The 13,521-nt window shown below is 48.3% G+C and overlaps 1 long non-coding RNA gene across 1 annotated transcript in view, besides 1 other annotated feature; it reads left to right on the top strand.

Annotated features, from left to right (window-relative positions):
* The window catches only part of LOC101928004 (uncharacterized), a 106,380-nt gene extending 93,771 nt beyond the window's left edge, over positions 1-12,609 (top strand). Inside the window, exon 5 of the long non-coding RNA NR_187687.1 lies at positions 10,239-12,609. This is a non-coding gene — a long non-coding RNA (uncharacterized LOC101928004). The remainder of the gene's footprint in view (positions 1-10,238) is intronic.
* Positions 12,229-13,178: an enhancer, noted in NCBI's record as "NANOG-H3K4me1 hESC enhancer chr6:6694456-6695405 (GRCh37/hg19 assembly coordinates)". NCBI's record gives its function as "activates a minimal SCP1, AML or CMV promoter by ChIP-STARR-seq in primed H9 embryonic stem cells {active_cell/tissue: H9 hESC(primed)}" and the evidence as "EXISTENCE:reporter gene assay evidence [ECO:0000049][PMID:30033119]".

Below are 13,521 nucleotides of genomic sequence, written 5' to 3'. Positions count from 1 at the left end.
GAGTTGCTAAAGCTTAACAGAATATAAAGGAATAAGGAAGAAGAAACCACTCCACCTCTGCCCTTCCACTTTCGTCGGCAGGGTACGTCCACCCATAGCATGGGCTCCCTGTGTGACCCACTTCCCTGCTTCCGCATGGGCTTGAGGGAGGAGGAGGCCTGGCATGCCGGAAGGCTGGCCAGGGGTGAGGTCCGTGCTTGGGGACTGGTGATGTGAGAATGGGCTAAGCAGTGAAGAACTCTGTGGCATCTGTTTTTAAAATGGAGTCCAGGGGTGAGCAGTGGCTTATGAATGTTCTCAAGAAAGAAATGATGACTAGCCTTGGACATTTTGATGTTGCTCTTTGAAAAGATCCATATTCTCTTTTGGGATGAATTATAGTTCACTTGTGATATTTCTTTTAAATATATTTTTTAATCTTTAAAATTATTTTTATTTTTATTATTTTTTAGAGATGATTCCTTGCTCTGTTGCCCAGATGGGAGTGCAGTGGGCACCATTATAGCTCACTGCAGTCTCGAACTCCTGGGCTCAAGTGTTCCTCCCACCACAATTTCCCAAATAGCTCGGACTACGAGTGTGACTTACAATATTTCTTATTACACAGGAAGCTGAATTTTTTTCTTTAACTTGCAAGAAGTCTGTGGCATTTTTTAAATTTATTTTTGTCTTCACAAACAAGTAGAGTAAGTGATTTAAAAAGGTATACACGTGAAATCTTTTTCATAGGTTATCCATATTACATGGTAAGCAAGTTAAACATATAAAAGGCTGTACAGAGAAAAAAGGAGTCCTCCTCCCAGCTCGGGGGTAGTTGATCTTTGTTTTCTTATCACTATGGTCTTGGAGGGCAGAAGTTGGAGAGTTGAAGCCATAGTGAAGCATCACCAAACTAAGAAGGCTCAGGTCTTGGGACAGCTCCATGCACAGGCTGAATGGGACGGCTGCCAGGAAGATAATATTCTGTTCTGGATGTACATTTCCAGGGCCAGTAAGTGACTGCACACACCTGAGGCAGTTGACCTTCTGCTCTGTCGATGAAAGAAGAGGGGACAAAAATCAAGGGACAGGAACAAGGCAAGAAATTGAGGCTTTTGGAGTTATAGGCTGGAATTGTGCTGAATTTTCTTCTGAAATAGTTCACTAAGGTGTATTAGCCAACCACTTATGTCTTTCCTTCTATGTCATTTTCTTTTTTTTTTTTTTTTTTTTTTTTTTGTTATGGAGTTTTGCTCTTGTCCAGACTGGAGTGCAGTGGCGCAATCTTGGCTCACTGTGACCTCCGCCTCCTGAGTTCAAGTGATTCTCCTGCCTCAGCTCCTGAGTAGCTGGGATTACAGGCGTGCACCACCACGCCCGGCTAACTTTTGTATTTTTTGGGAGAGACGGGGTTTCACCGCGTTGGCCAGGCTGGTCTCGAACTCCTGACGTTAGGTGATCTGCCCACCTTAGCCTCCCAAAGTGCTGGGATTATAAGCATGAGCCACCATACCCAACCTATGTCATCATTTTCAGTGGAAGTAGTTGTCTAATACGAGGAAGTAACACGTGTTCAAAAGAATAGAGTAGGGTTGCTTGATCTTCTGTGTTTTCTTAGAGCTCTATTTTCTTTGTGTTCAGAGCAAGTTCTGATTTGGACAAAAAGCATGGCCTCTTAGGGCTGTCAGTGCTGCCACTTACTTGGTTGTGGGCTTAATGTGCTGGCTTTGAGTCTGTCTCACTGACTCCCATGCTTCGTGGGTCCCTGGAATTCTGTGCTTATGGGGATCCCCAACATGACCTGCACATAGGACAGCAGGAAAGGAGGACATATATACTGCGTACATCTCCTCTGCTCACATGCATCTCCACTGTCCCCATAGGATTTCACTCGTAAAACACAAGTTCACAGATAAGACTAAGGATGTTAAGACGGTGATGGTAGAGCACTAAGCCAAGTGTGGGTCCTTCTAAGCACAAGGCCTTGTGCAGCATGACAGGTTGGTCACCATGAAGTGGTCTCTGCCGATGTGGTTATGAAACCAGGAGGGCTGAGGGATCTTGAAACATGGGATGAGCTGCCTAAGGCCAAAACCAATGTTCTGAGGATGGTAGAGCCCAGAGCTTGAAGGAATTTATGTTCCTGACAACAACACTGAACCACTGGTTTTAATCTCCTTGGAACTTGCTTGGACTTCTTATCTGAGATTAGAATATCCTTGTTTTTAAAGGTGGTTTGAGCTGAGTGTCACTTGCAGGTGAAAGCTTTGTGACGTACACCAGAGGACATCTTGTCCCTAATGAGTGAATGCCATAATACTTTACCTTTATTTTCCTTACTAGGCTCCATCTCCGTAGCCTGCTTTTGACAAAAGTGGATACATAAATCTAGGGGCCACCTAGCTAGTTCTAATAAGACTTTGGAAGTCAAAAGCTAAAGAAGACCAGGGGACCAAGCTGGAAATCAGGCTCTGCAATCAGATTCCAGAGGGAATGCCATTCCACCCAATCACCTAGCCACAACGGTTCCCTTCCTTCAAGATGCTGCATGCCTCTTCAGGCGAATGGATTACCTTGTAAGAGTGACCTGAAAAAGCGTTAGCCCAGCCACACCGAGGCTTAACTGAGCCATTTGATTCTCACTGCCTCTCTCTGTTGCTTCCTCTTGCTTTCAACTACAGGGTCTTTCTGTTTAGGTGGTGAAAAAAATGATCGTTAAAAACAATAAACCTGGGGACCTCTGATACCATGAGCCCAGCCAGAGATCTGTGTCAAGCAAATCCTTGCAGACAGTTCTGCCAGCCTGCAGATGGCTGTTTGCCTCTCGTGGATTTGATAAGTGCTCATTTATGCCCAGAGGCCTCTGGGAGATAGTGCTCATGCTGAGCTTACAAACTGAAAACCATTATCTGTTCCTTACCTGAGACCCTGGGGAGCAGTCAGCTCACTCCCTGCCGATGGCCTAAGATAGGTACTGATGTTACAGTTGAGGAATATCTAGGAGTAACAAACTTAAGTAGCTGGAATATGCCAATTTTGACAATTTGACAACATCATTATAAACATTCTGAAGTACTTACAAGTCTTTTTTTTTTTTTTTTTTTTTTTTGGGAGACAGAGTCTTACTTACTCTGTCACAGACTAAAGTGCAGTGGCGTGATCTCGGCTCACTACAACCTTTGCCTTCTAGATTCAAGCGATTTTCCTGCCTCAGCCTCCCGAGTAGCTGAGATTACAGTCACACACTAAGGTGCCCGGCTAATTTTTGTATTTTCAGTGGAGAAGGGGTTTCACCACGTTGGTCAGGCTGGTCTGGAACTCCTGACCTCAGGTGATCTGCCTGCCTCAGCCTCCCAAAGTGTTGGGATTACAGGCATGAGCCACCGTGCCTGGCCATGCAATACTTAGAGTCACAGAAGTTTATGGTTAGATAATTCTCACAGAGGTGACCTGGTTCAGCTCTACCATCAAGGTCATTGAGACACTGGCACCTTGCCCAAGGTCATGCCAACCTGGGATTAGGCGTTTCCTGCCCGATGCCCTTTCCCCACTTTCCACACCTATTGTTCATACTAATTTATTGCAGGTCTTATTTCTACAGCCTCCTTTAATTGCTTTATGTTCACGGGACACTGTCTTCAGGATAAGATTGCAAGTATTTTTTTATATTACTTCCTCTTGTCCCTGATACTGTAGGGTTTCAAGCTGAAACCAGTCAAAAAGGACTTCATGCTGAGTAACTTTTGCCCAGGCAGCAGGGCTGAGGAGCTGGGGACGAAGGAGAGACCCTGGCTGTATTCTTTCTGATAGGTGTTACACATCAGGCTTGAGTTAATTTGGTCAGGTTCAATAATGTGCTGCAGTTACTCTGTAAACACTTAGAATCGTGGAGTGTCAGGTCTGGAAGGAGATTTAAAGACAACCTGGTCTTATGGTTCTCTAACTGTGCTCCAAGGAACCCTAGGGGCTCCTGTGTGTGGGGGTCGGGGTGTGCCTTCTGGTCAGCCTCTAAGAGCAGGTGGGCTGGAGAGCTGAGCTGACTTAGGCCTAAGCACTGGCCCCTTTTCTTGAAATATTTTATTTAATGGGGCTGTATCAGATTTCTTACAAACAAAGGGCTTGGATGATAGACCATGGTCGACAGCTATGAATCTAGTCCAGCTCTTTCATTTTCACTGTGAGCAAATGAGGCTTGGAATGAGGGAAGAGGGACTAGACCACTGCGTGCAGAGCTGCACACATAGCTAGTGACAGGAGCCAGGATGGAAACTCTTTGCAGATGCCCCCTCGATACCTTGCAGAGATGGCCTGGTCCCTCTAAGAAGCTATGTTTTTGGCTTGATGGAGAGATTGAACTACAGAAACCAACTCTCTATGGTGGCTGCTCATCTGGGAAAAGAAAGGGACAAAATCTACACTTACTGAGTGACTACTGTGTCACAGGCATGGAAAATACATTCACTCATTCAGAGCAGGTGTGTGGAGCACCTCCTGCATAGCAGATGCTGCCCTGCCTGTCATGGGTACTCTTTAAGCCTCACAAGCCTGCAGGGGAAGCTATCACGTGCTCCAGAGCTGAAGGCTCTCAGGGTTATGCAGCTGGCTCATCAGTGGCAGACCCACATCTGAACTGACACCCTTTGAACTCCAAATCTGCTGTGCCACATCACATCCTAATATGCTTTTTTTTTTTTTTTTTTTTTTTTTTTGAGACGGAGTCTCGCTCTGTCGCCCAGGCTGGAGTGCAGTGGCGCGATCTCGGCTCACTGCAAGCTCCGCCTCCCGGGTTCACGCCATTCTCCTGCCTCAGCCTCCCGAGTAGCTGGGACTACAGGCGCCCGCTACCACGCCCGGCTAATTTTTTTTGTATTTTTAGTAGAGACGGGGTTTCACTGTGTTAGCCAGGATGGTCTCGATCTCCTGACCTCGTGATCCGCCCGCCTCGGCCTCCCAAAGTGCTGGGATTACAGGCGTGAGCCACCGCGCCCGGCCCCTAATATGCTTTTAATTTTTTTTTAAATGTCTCCAGAAGTCAGCGGGTGTCAACTGCATACGAGCTTCCCAAAGACTCAAAACTCAGTTTAAAAAAAAAATGTGAGTTTCCCTTTATCTGTTCAGAAAAGAGCGTGGTGGGGGTGGGCGGCCCTCAGTGCCTGTTCTCCTGGGGAGATGGTCTTCGGTAAGTGGAGCTCCCTTAGAGTCCTAATCTGTCTCCTGATTTGGGCTTTCACGATTGACACACATGCAGCTTTAGCCTTGTCTCCTGCTCACAGGGAAAATTCTGCTCATCTTGCTGCTCAGCTGCAGGGTGGTTCTGGGAGCAGCTGTCCCTCGGGGAGATGGGTGAGGCCGTATGAATGCCAGCGATGGAGAGATAGCGAACTGTGTGGTGGAGGGAGAAACTGTTAACGTGCAGGAGGGCGCCGCCTTCAGTGGTGCAAGAAGTTTTCAACTGTCCTTGTCTTTCAAAAGACACTGTCTCAACAGAGTGTCAGCAACTTCTGAAGCCATTTCAGGCTGTATTTGTTAATGACATTTTAGAATTCTTCCTGGGTGGGCTCTGCCCAGCTTCTGGTGGTTTAAATATTAGAAATCAGACTGATGTTGGTGCTGGGAGGAGAAGGAATTATGGAAAGACAACATGAAGGGAAGTTCAGGATTTGTGGCAAGTCTTGCCCAGGGATTTGAGGCAAGCTGTGTAGGATCTGGTTCAATCGTTCTGTCTCATACGGGGGATATGATGGCTACCATTCCTTGGAATATATGCATTTTCAGCATTAGTACCCAGGATTTTTTTTCCCCTGCTCTTAGAGTGTGTTGTTAAAAGTTAGTCGTAGTGATGGTTTTATTTTAAAAATTCAAGGTTTTTTTTGTAGAGATGAGGTCTCCTTATGATGCCCAGGCTGGTCTTGTCCTGGGCTCAAGCAGTCTTCCCACCTCAGCCTCCCAAAGTGCTGGAACTACAGGTGTGAGCCACTGCACCCAGCTTCGTTTTTATGTTATTAATTGAAGAGTATATTTTCCCCCCACTAAAGTGGTAATTTTCCAGACTACCTTTAAAGAAGAATAAAACACCTTCCTCTTCCAGGCAGCTAAATCTAAATCTTGTATTCTCTTTTAAAGCAACTCCTTAGCCAAAGACGTGGCAACTGCGGGTGAAGTATCTCTGGGCAGGAAATCAATGCAGAAATGCAACTGGGGAGAGGGGGCTTGGGGGCCAGTTCCAGGGAGATTGGAACTGCTGTGTTCTCATCAGCAGAAGTGGCCCCTGCCCACCCCCATCCTAATCCCTTCTCATGTGGGAGAAGGTCTGTGAGCCCTCTCCCTACCAGGCAGGTTCTATGGCAATGTGGGCACATACCCTGGGGCAGGGGCCGAGGGACTTAACTCACTTCATGAGCGCCAATGGAGGAGCGAAGGGAATGCCTGATGAAAACAACATTCTACCAGTATGCACTGTTTTCTAACCTACAGAGTGCCTCTGTGTTCACTGTCCCATTTGAGAATTCTAAGTAGAATTCTGAACAGGCTGGAGCAGATTGCCCACCCCAAGGGACAGATGTTGGCTGGTACTGTTGGTATTCATGGAAGATTCCTTCTGACACTCCCTCCTTCTTTGTAATTGCCATGAACTGGAGCACTGGGCCAATATAAATCATCCAAGGGTGAACACGCTGCACATGGACGGCTCCTCTTTGTTTTTGAAGGGATTCCATCTCTATTTTGCCATGTGCTCCTTCACCCCACTCCCCACCCCCGTCTTTCATTTCTTTCTCTGGAAAAGATACTTCAACTCACAGGACTGCGATGTTGAAACGGACACCCAAGAGCATCACAGATGGGCCAGGCCTGGACCTCTCGGGACAACATTCCTCACGACTTTTAGATAGAAGAGATTAGAGATTTGGGACTGGTGGCAACTGGTAACGTTTTCAGTGTTTGGTAAACAGCCAGGGTCCGGAGCTCTGGGAACAGCCTGATTTAGCTCTTTGTTTAAGTTTTGTGTTAGAGGCTCCCAAGAAGCTGATGCAGGGGAAAGAAATTAACAACCATGGCTCATTCACAGCCAGGCAGCCAAATGGACAGCTCTATAAGACTCAAGCCGACAGCGGAGAGAGTGCAACCAAACAGCCTTGGCCCAGCTTTCAGAGGAGAACGTTATTCACCCCAACTGCTCTGCATCTGCCTGGATGTCTGCCAAGATCTGTGAGCATTACAGCGTTGGTATGCTTTGGGTGAGGCCTGTGGCTATGGCAACAAGTTGGGAGCAACCCGGTCCCTGGGAATGAGAACAGTGTCTAAAATCAGGCAGGCGAGGGGCAGGGAGGAGAGGTAAAGGTTGGACTTGCCTGAAGATGGAGCCGTTTTATTGTTGTGGGTAAAGCTGCTACCATTAGGGGCTGTTTACAGAGTGGGTGCAGCTCAAGCTGGGAGCATGTTAGACTCAGCGACTACGATCAACCTATTGACTTGTTCCCATGAGACAGAGTAAATTAACTGTTGCAGTACTGGTCATGTACCACCAACCTCCTGTGAACCAGCCCTCAGTGAAACATTTATGTGAAAGGCCATGGTGTTCCCATAAGAGGGTGCATGTTCTCTCCCTTGACTAACTCTTCAGTATGCCTCATTCTCACGCGCTGGTGTGCAGGAAGGAGTCCAACATGCCCCATTGACAGTCATGCCCTGTATGTGGAAAGTCTTCAGGTAGAGCACTGGGCTCAGGTTTGAAGATGTGAGTTCTAATCCTAGCAAGGCCATTACCTCCCAGTGACCTCATGTCTCGATTTCCTCAACCACAAAACAAAGGCATTGGTGAGCTGACCTCTAAGGCCTCTCCAGTTCTCACCTTCTGTGTCTCTACAGACTGGAGACTAGAAGATTATGGGCACTTTTATTGAGTCTTCATTTTGTTTCCATTTCTTTGTAGTCATCAGCTGGAGTTGAGGACAAGTTTTAACAATAGATAGGTTTCTTTTTGTCTCTTTTTAAAAAATTTTATTTAAAATAAATGCCAAGTGTAGTGGCTCATACCTGTAATCCCAGCACTTTGGGGAGGCCAAGGTGGGAGGATTGCTTTTGAGTTTGAGACCAGCCTGGGCAACGTGGTGAGACCCTGTTTGTACAAAAAATTTTAAATTAGCCAGGCATGGTGGCGTGTGCCTATAGTCCTAGCTACTCTGGAGGTAGAGGCAGGAGGATCCCTTGAACCTGGGAGGTTGAGGCCACAGTGAGCTGTGATTGTGCTATTGAACTCTAGCCTGGGCAACAGAGCAAGACCCTGTCTCTTAAAAAAGACTATTTTTTAAGAACACTTTTAGGTTCACAGCGAAATTTGGAGGAAACTTGGCATATGTCATATGCCCCCTGCTCCCATGCATGCACAGCCTCTACCATTAGCAATGTCCCCACTCAAATGGTACCTTTGTTGTAATCAACAACCCTGTACTGACACATCATCATCACCCAAACTCCATAGTTCACATTAGGTTTCACTCTTGGTGTGGTGTACATTCCATGGGCTTGAACAACTGTATAATGACATTATCCACCACTGCAGGATCATACAGAGTAGTCTCACTGCCCTAAAACTACTCTGTGCTCCACCTGTTTGTCCCTTCTTTCACTCTAAACTCCTGGCAACAACTGACCTTTTTACTGCCTCGATAGCTTTGCCTTCTTCGGAATGTCATGTAGTTGAAATCATACATCATGAAGCCTTTTCAGATTGGCTTCATATAGGTTTCCTTCCTTCCTTCCTCCCACCACCTTCCTTTCTTTCTGTATTCCTAACTCTTGGATGTATTTTCCCCAGCATCATGACTTGATGGGACTTTTGCTAAGATAGGCAATCATAGAAAGTCATAAATCTCTTGTCAGCCTTATTGGCTCACCTCCGAGATGGTTCCAACACTCTTTAAGGCCCACTTTTCCAATCCACAGATTCCCCAGCAGAAGTCCAAGCTGCTGAGCCTCACATCATCTTTTGCACTAGTAATCTTTACCACTACTTCACTGTAGCATTTGAAAATTTTCATATGAAGCCATAGTTCTGTGTCTTTTTTTTTTTTTTTTTTTTTTTGGAGACGGAGTCTTAACCTGTTGCCCAGGCTGGAGTGCAGTGGCACAGTCTTAGCTCACTGCAAGCTCCGCCTCACGGGTTCAAGTGATTCTTGCCTCAGCCTCCCAAGTAGCTGGGATTACAGGCGCGCCACCATGCCCAGCTAAATTTGTTGGCATTTTTAGTAGAGATGGGGTTTCACCATGTTGGCCAGGCTGGTCTCAAACTCCTTACCTCAGGTGATCTGCCTGCCTCAGCCTCCCAAAGTGCTGGGATTAAAGGTGTGAGCCACCGCACCTGGCCTGAAGCCATAGTTCTTAACCTCAGTTGTGCAATAGAATTATCTGGGGAATTTAAAAATTAGAAAAAACCCATGCCCTGAAGATTGTGATCTAACTGGTCTTGCGTAGCGCCTGGGCATTGGTATTTTTTAAATGTTTCCCAACTGATACTAATGTGGCCATTCTGCAAGCCACAGTTGAAAGGCTTATTCAAGCATCCTGTTGCTGAATGCATGTCGTCCTTACCACATGACTCTGGAGGTTTTCTTGTATTCTGATGTGGCTGCCCTGTTGAGGCCTGCCCCTTAGAGTGGAGATTATCCCCTGCAGTAGGCTGCCTGGAATATGATCCCCAGTGATCCCTGCTTCCTGGTATTCAGGCCCTGGTGTGATCCCTTTCCCTTGAAGCCTGGGCTGGATTAGTGACTTGCTTCTAACCAACAGCATATGGCAAAAATAAATGTTTATTGTTTTAAACCTCTGTTTTAGGGTCATTTATTACACAGCAAAGATAACGAATATACTTTCTGAAAGAAGGGGAGGCTCTTTAGACAGGAACATGTTCCTGTGGGAGCCACACCTTATGTTGATTTTGAAGAATGGAGGGTCTAATAATGTGTCCCCAGGGGAAGTGATAGGGGGGCCCAGACTGCTTGGGGCTGGAAAGGCAGGTGACAAATAAGCAGACTCTTGGCTGGCTAGACTGGTGCTTCTGCTATGCGCACATACGTAGGAGAGCCTGGGCAGTCCTGCTAAACTGTGGATTCTGGTTCAGCAGATCTGGGTTAGTGTCCAGGAATTCTACAAACTCCCAGGGGGTGCTGATGCTGCTGGTCTGGGGACCATATTTTAGGGGACAAGGAACTGTTCTAATTGAATTCATGTTCCTCTCTGCTTGCTTCCTTTTTTAAATACAGCAGTCTTCTTTCCACCAATGACCCCTCGCGCTGCTTCCAGAAGCCAAGAAAGTGGGCTTTGTCCTTGGGGATTTAGGAGGCGGAGCGGCGCCCCCTTGAGGCCACATGGTGGAGGCAGCGATGAGACCTGGAGTCTAAAATTCAGACTGAATCACAGGAAGAAGCTATTTACACAAGTCAAACATGGTCCAATCTTGGCAATTTCATAAGGTTCCAATCCTTAAGGGATCAAAACCTGGCCAACTGCTTCCACCGAGAGGTGTGCCTTTCAATGCCAGGCTTGGAGTGTCCCTCTTTATTTAAAAAGGAGAGGATTCCACAGCAGAGCTTCTCAAACTCTTCCACCCAAATCCCCTCACCACAGAGGGACAGGAGTCCTGGGCATGTAGCCTAAAGCAGCCAGGAGAAAAAAACCTTGACCTTAATTTTTTTAATGATTTCACATGAATCAGTGGAATGTGTTTATGATAAAATCATCTCCTCCTGAAATACATGTGTAAAACTGCTGCCCCAGTTAAACGCACTTAGTCTAACCAAGCCCTAGGATTGGCCTCTCCAGCATGAGAAGCATTTCCAGCACTCCAGCTCCCCAGCTCCCACTCTGGGATCCCACCTCAGACCCTCCCACTTCCTTGCACTCTGGCCTCTCGCTCTTGACCCTGCTCCCGCCACGCTCTTTCCTCAGAGTCCATCAGTCCTGTCTTGTCTTCACCTTGGTCTCTGCCAAGTGTGGGTCCAAGTCATATATTTGGGCTGTGATCACAGGAACCCCAAGCCCCAGACCTCCCAAAGCACCCTATGGAGAGACCTTACCCTCCTGGACAGACCCTCTCCCCCCAGCTAGACCTCATCCTCTGGGTAGACCCATCTCCCCAACCAGAACTCACCCTCCTGAGTAAACCCCATCCCCCTAGCTAGACTTCATCCTCCTGGACAGATCCCATCCCCCCAGCTAGACCTCACCCTCTTGGGTAGATGCATCTCCCCAACCAGAACTCTCCTGGGTAGACCCCTTCTACCCAGCTAGACCTGATCCTCTGGACAGACCCCATCATCCCAGCTAGACTTCTCCCTCCTGGACTGTCCCCATCCCCCCTCCAGCCAGACCTCACCCCTCTGGGTAGACCCCATCCCCCCAACTAGACCTCACCCTCCTGGATGGACTCTACCCTCCTGGAGATACCTTCCCCTCCTGGGTACATCCCACGTGGCTACACACTCCTTCCCCTGTCAGCTTTCTCCCCCAGGGTTCTGGGCAGCAGAGTCTGTGATAAAGGATACTAAGTGATTCCCCAATACTTCCCGTTTCCAGCCTCCAGTGGGCTCTCCCTGGGGCTAACGGTTCTTTTTGCTATTTCTCCAGGCTTTGCCTGATGACAAGTATACTCTGAGAGTGTCCTAATGATACAGATTTTGGACCCTATCCCAGTTCTACTGAATCCAAGTCTCTGGGGGAGGAGTTGGGGCTCTGCATCTGGACACCTTCCTGCAGGGTCCCTCCTGGGAGGCAAGCCCGGGGAGCACCGCTGAGGCTCGCCTCAGTGCCCATCCTAGACCTTCAGCAGCTAGCAGAGGATGTCCCCACCATCCCTCAGCCCACACTCCCACTGTCGCCCCAGCCAGGCTTGGCACTGCCTCCTTTCTCAGAAGATTAAGACCATCTGCTGTTTCCCAAGTTTCCCACCCTCCACCCTAAAAATTTCTCCGTTTCCCAGTCTTTCCTCGTCTCTCAGAAAATAAACATCTTCCCAGGCTGCCTCCCCAGTGGGTCTGCACTCCTTGCTGTCTTCCCAGCACCTGCCCTTCCAGCCCGCCCTCTGTGTGTCCAGTGTTTCCCTCACCAAAGGACTCGCTTTGTTTTTCAAATTGGAGGTTTTGTCTTCTCCCTAAAAACCAAAACATCTCCCTGAGAAGTAACTCCCTCAAGCTACTGATACGGAAGGGGGGCGGGGAAGTGCTGGGAAGGGAAGGGTGTGGTCCCTGGCTAGGGCTCCACCCCCGGGCCTGTGCCCACAGACCTAGGTGAGGACAGGCATTTCTGTTTTCGTGCTTAAATGTTGGATTTCCCAAGACTACCCTGGCCTACCACACCCTCATTCTGTGCCTGTAAAAAAACCTGAGAGCTTAGCAGGCACGCACACAAGCCTCTGGACGTCAAGAGGAACACACCGGTGTAAGAGCAGACTGATAGTGGCCCACGGCAGGCTGGCAGGCCATCGACAGGCAGAACCACTCAGTGCAGCTGGAGGACAGCCTGGCCACGGAGCGGTCCGACTTCAGAGGGGAAAACCACCTCCCCACTCCGTCTCCCTTCTGGCTCCCCCATCTGAGAGCTACTTCCACTCAATAAAACCTTGCACTCATTCTCCAAGCCCATGTGTGATCTGATTCTTTTGGTGCACGGAGGCAAGAAACCTCAGGATACAGAAAGCCTCTGTCCTTGGAATAAGGCAGGAGGTCTAACAGCTGACTAGGGATGGCTCAACTGAAACAGCATCCTGTAACACAGGCCCATTGGGACCTCAGGAGCTGTAAACATTCACCCTTAGACATTGCTGTGGGGTTGGAGCCCCACCACCTGCCCATCTGCATGCTCCCCCTACAGGTTTGAGCAGCGGGGCACAGAAGAAGCCAGCCACACCTCCATCGCAAGCCCTGCCACGGGGATAAGGGAACTTTTCCCGTTTTGCCACCAGCTCAAGCCCCGCCTTCCTGTCACTCCACACTCTTCATCTCTGTGTATGGGTGTGGTCTTCCTCAGTTCCTTCTCTGGCCTCACACAGTGCCCTGAATAATGCTTTGCAAGGCCTTTGCCAGGAGCCTAGGTGAAAGGCAGAAGAGGTGCCCCTGCAGCATCGCAAGGTAGAGATCGTGGTTACAAGATGGGGACTAGACTCCCAGTTTGCCCTTGGACTGGGCAGCCCCTTGGATTTTGTTTTCCCTGACGTTGCTGTTCTGATCCAAGGCCTTGTGGCCTCGCTACAGACACCCAAGGCCAGGCCTATCTTTGCATGAATAACTAAAGAAAGCCTAGAGGATGAGTAAAATGACCACACTGTATGGCTTTGGAGGACTGGAAGTTACTGAGGACTATGAGTGGGTTTTTTGCATAGACTGCAGTAAAGGTCCTCAGAAAAGACCCTCAAGAGCTATGGGGGGGTCTGGTCAAATGCCACTTCTAGACTGGACTCCAAAACTGGTGCTGATTATTTTCACTCCTACCCCACCCACCAGCCTGATAGGCGATTCCTGAAGTAGCAGTGGGGCGCTCAGTGGTGCTCAC

This window comes from Homo sapiens, chromosome 6 (genome assembly GCF_000001405.40).
Source record: "Homo sapiens chromosome 6, GRCh38.p14 Primary Assembly".
Classification (NCBI taxonomy): Eukaryota; Metazoa; Chordata; class Mammalia; order Primates; family Hominidae; genus Homo; species Homo sapiens.
Note: the sequence above shows the minus strand (reverse complement) of the source record. Positions and strands in the feature narration are given on the sequence as shown.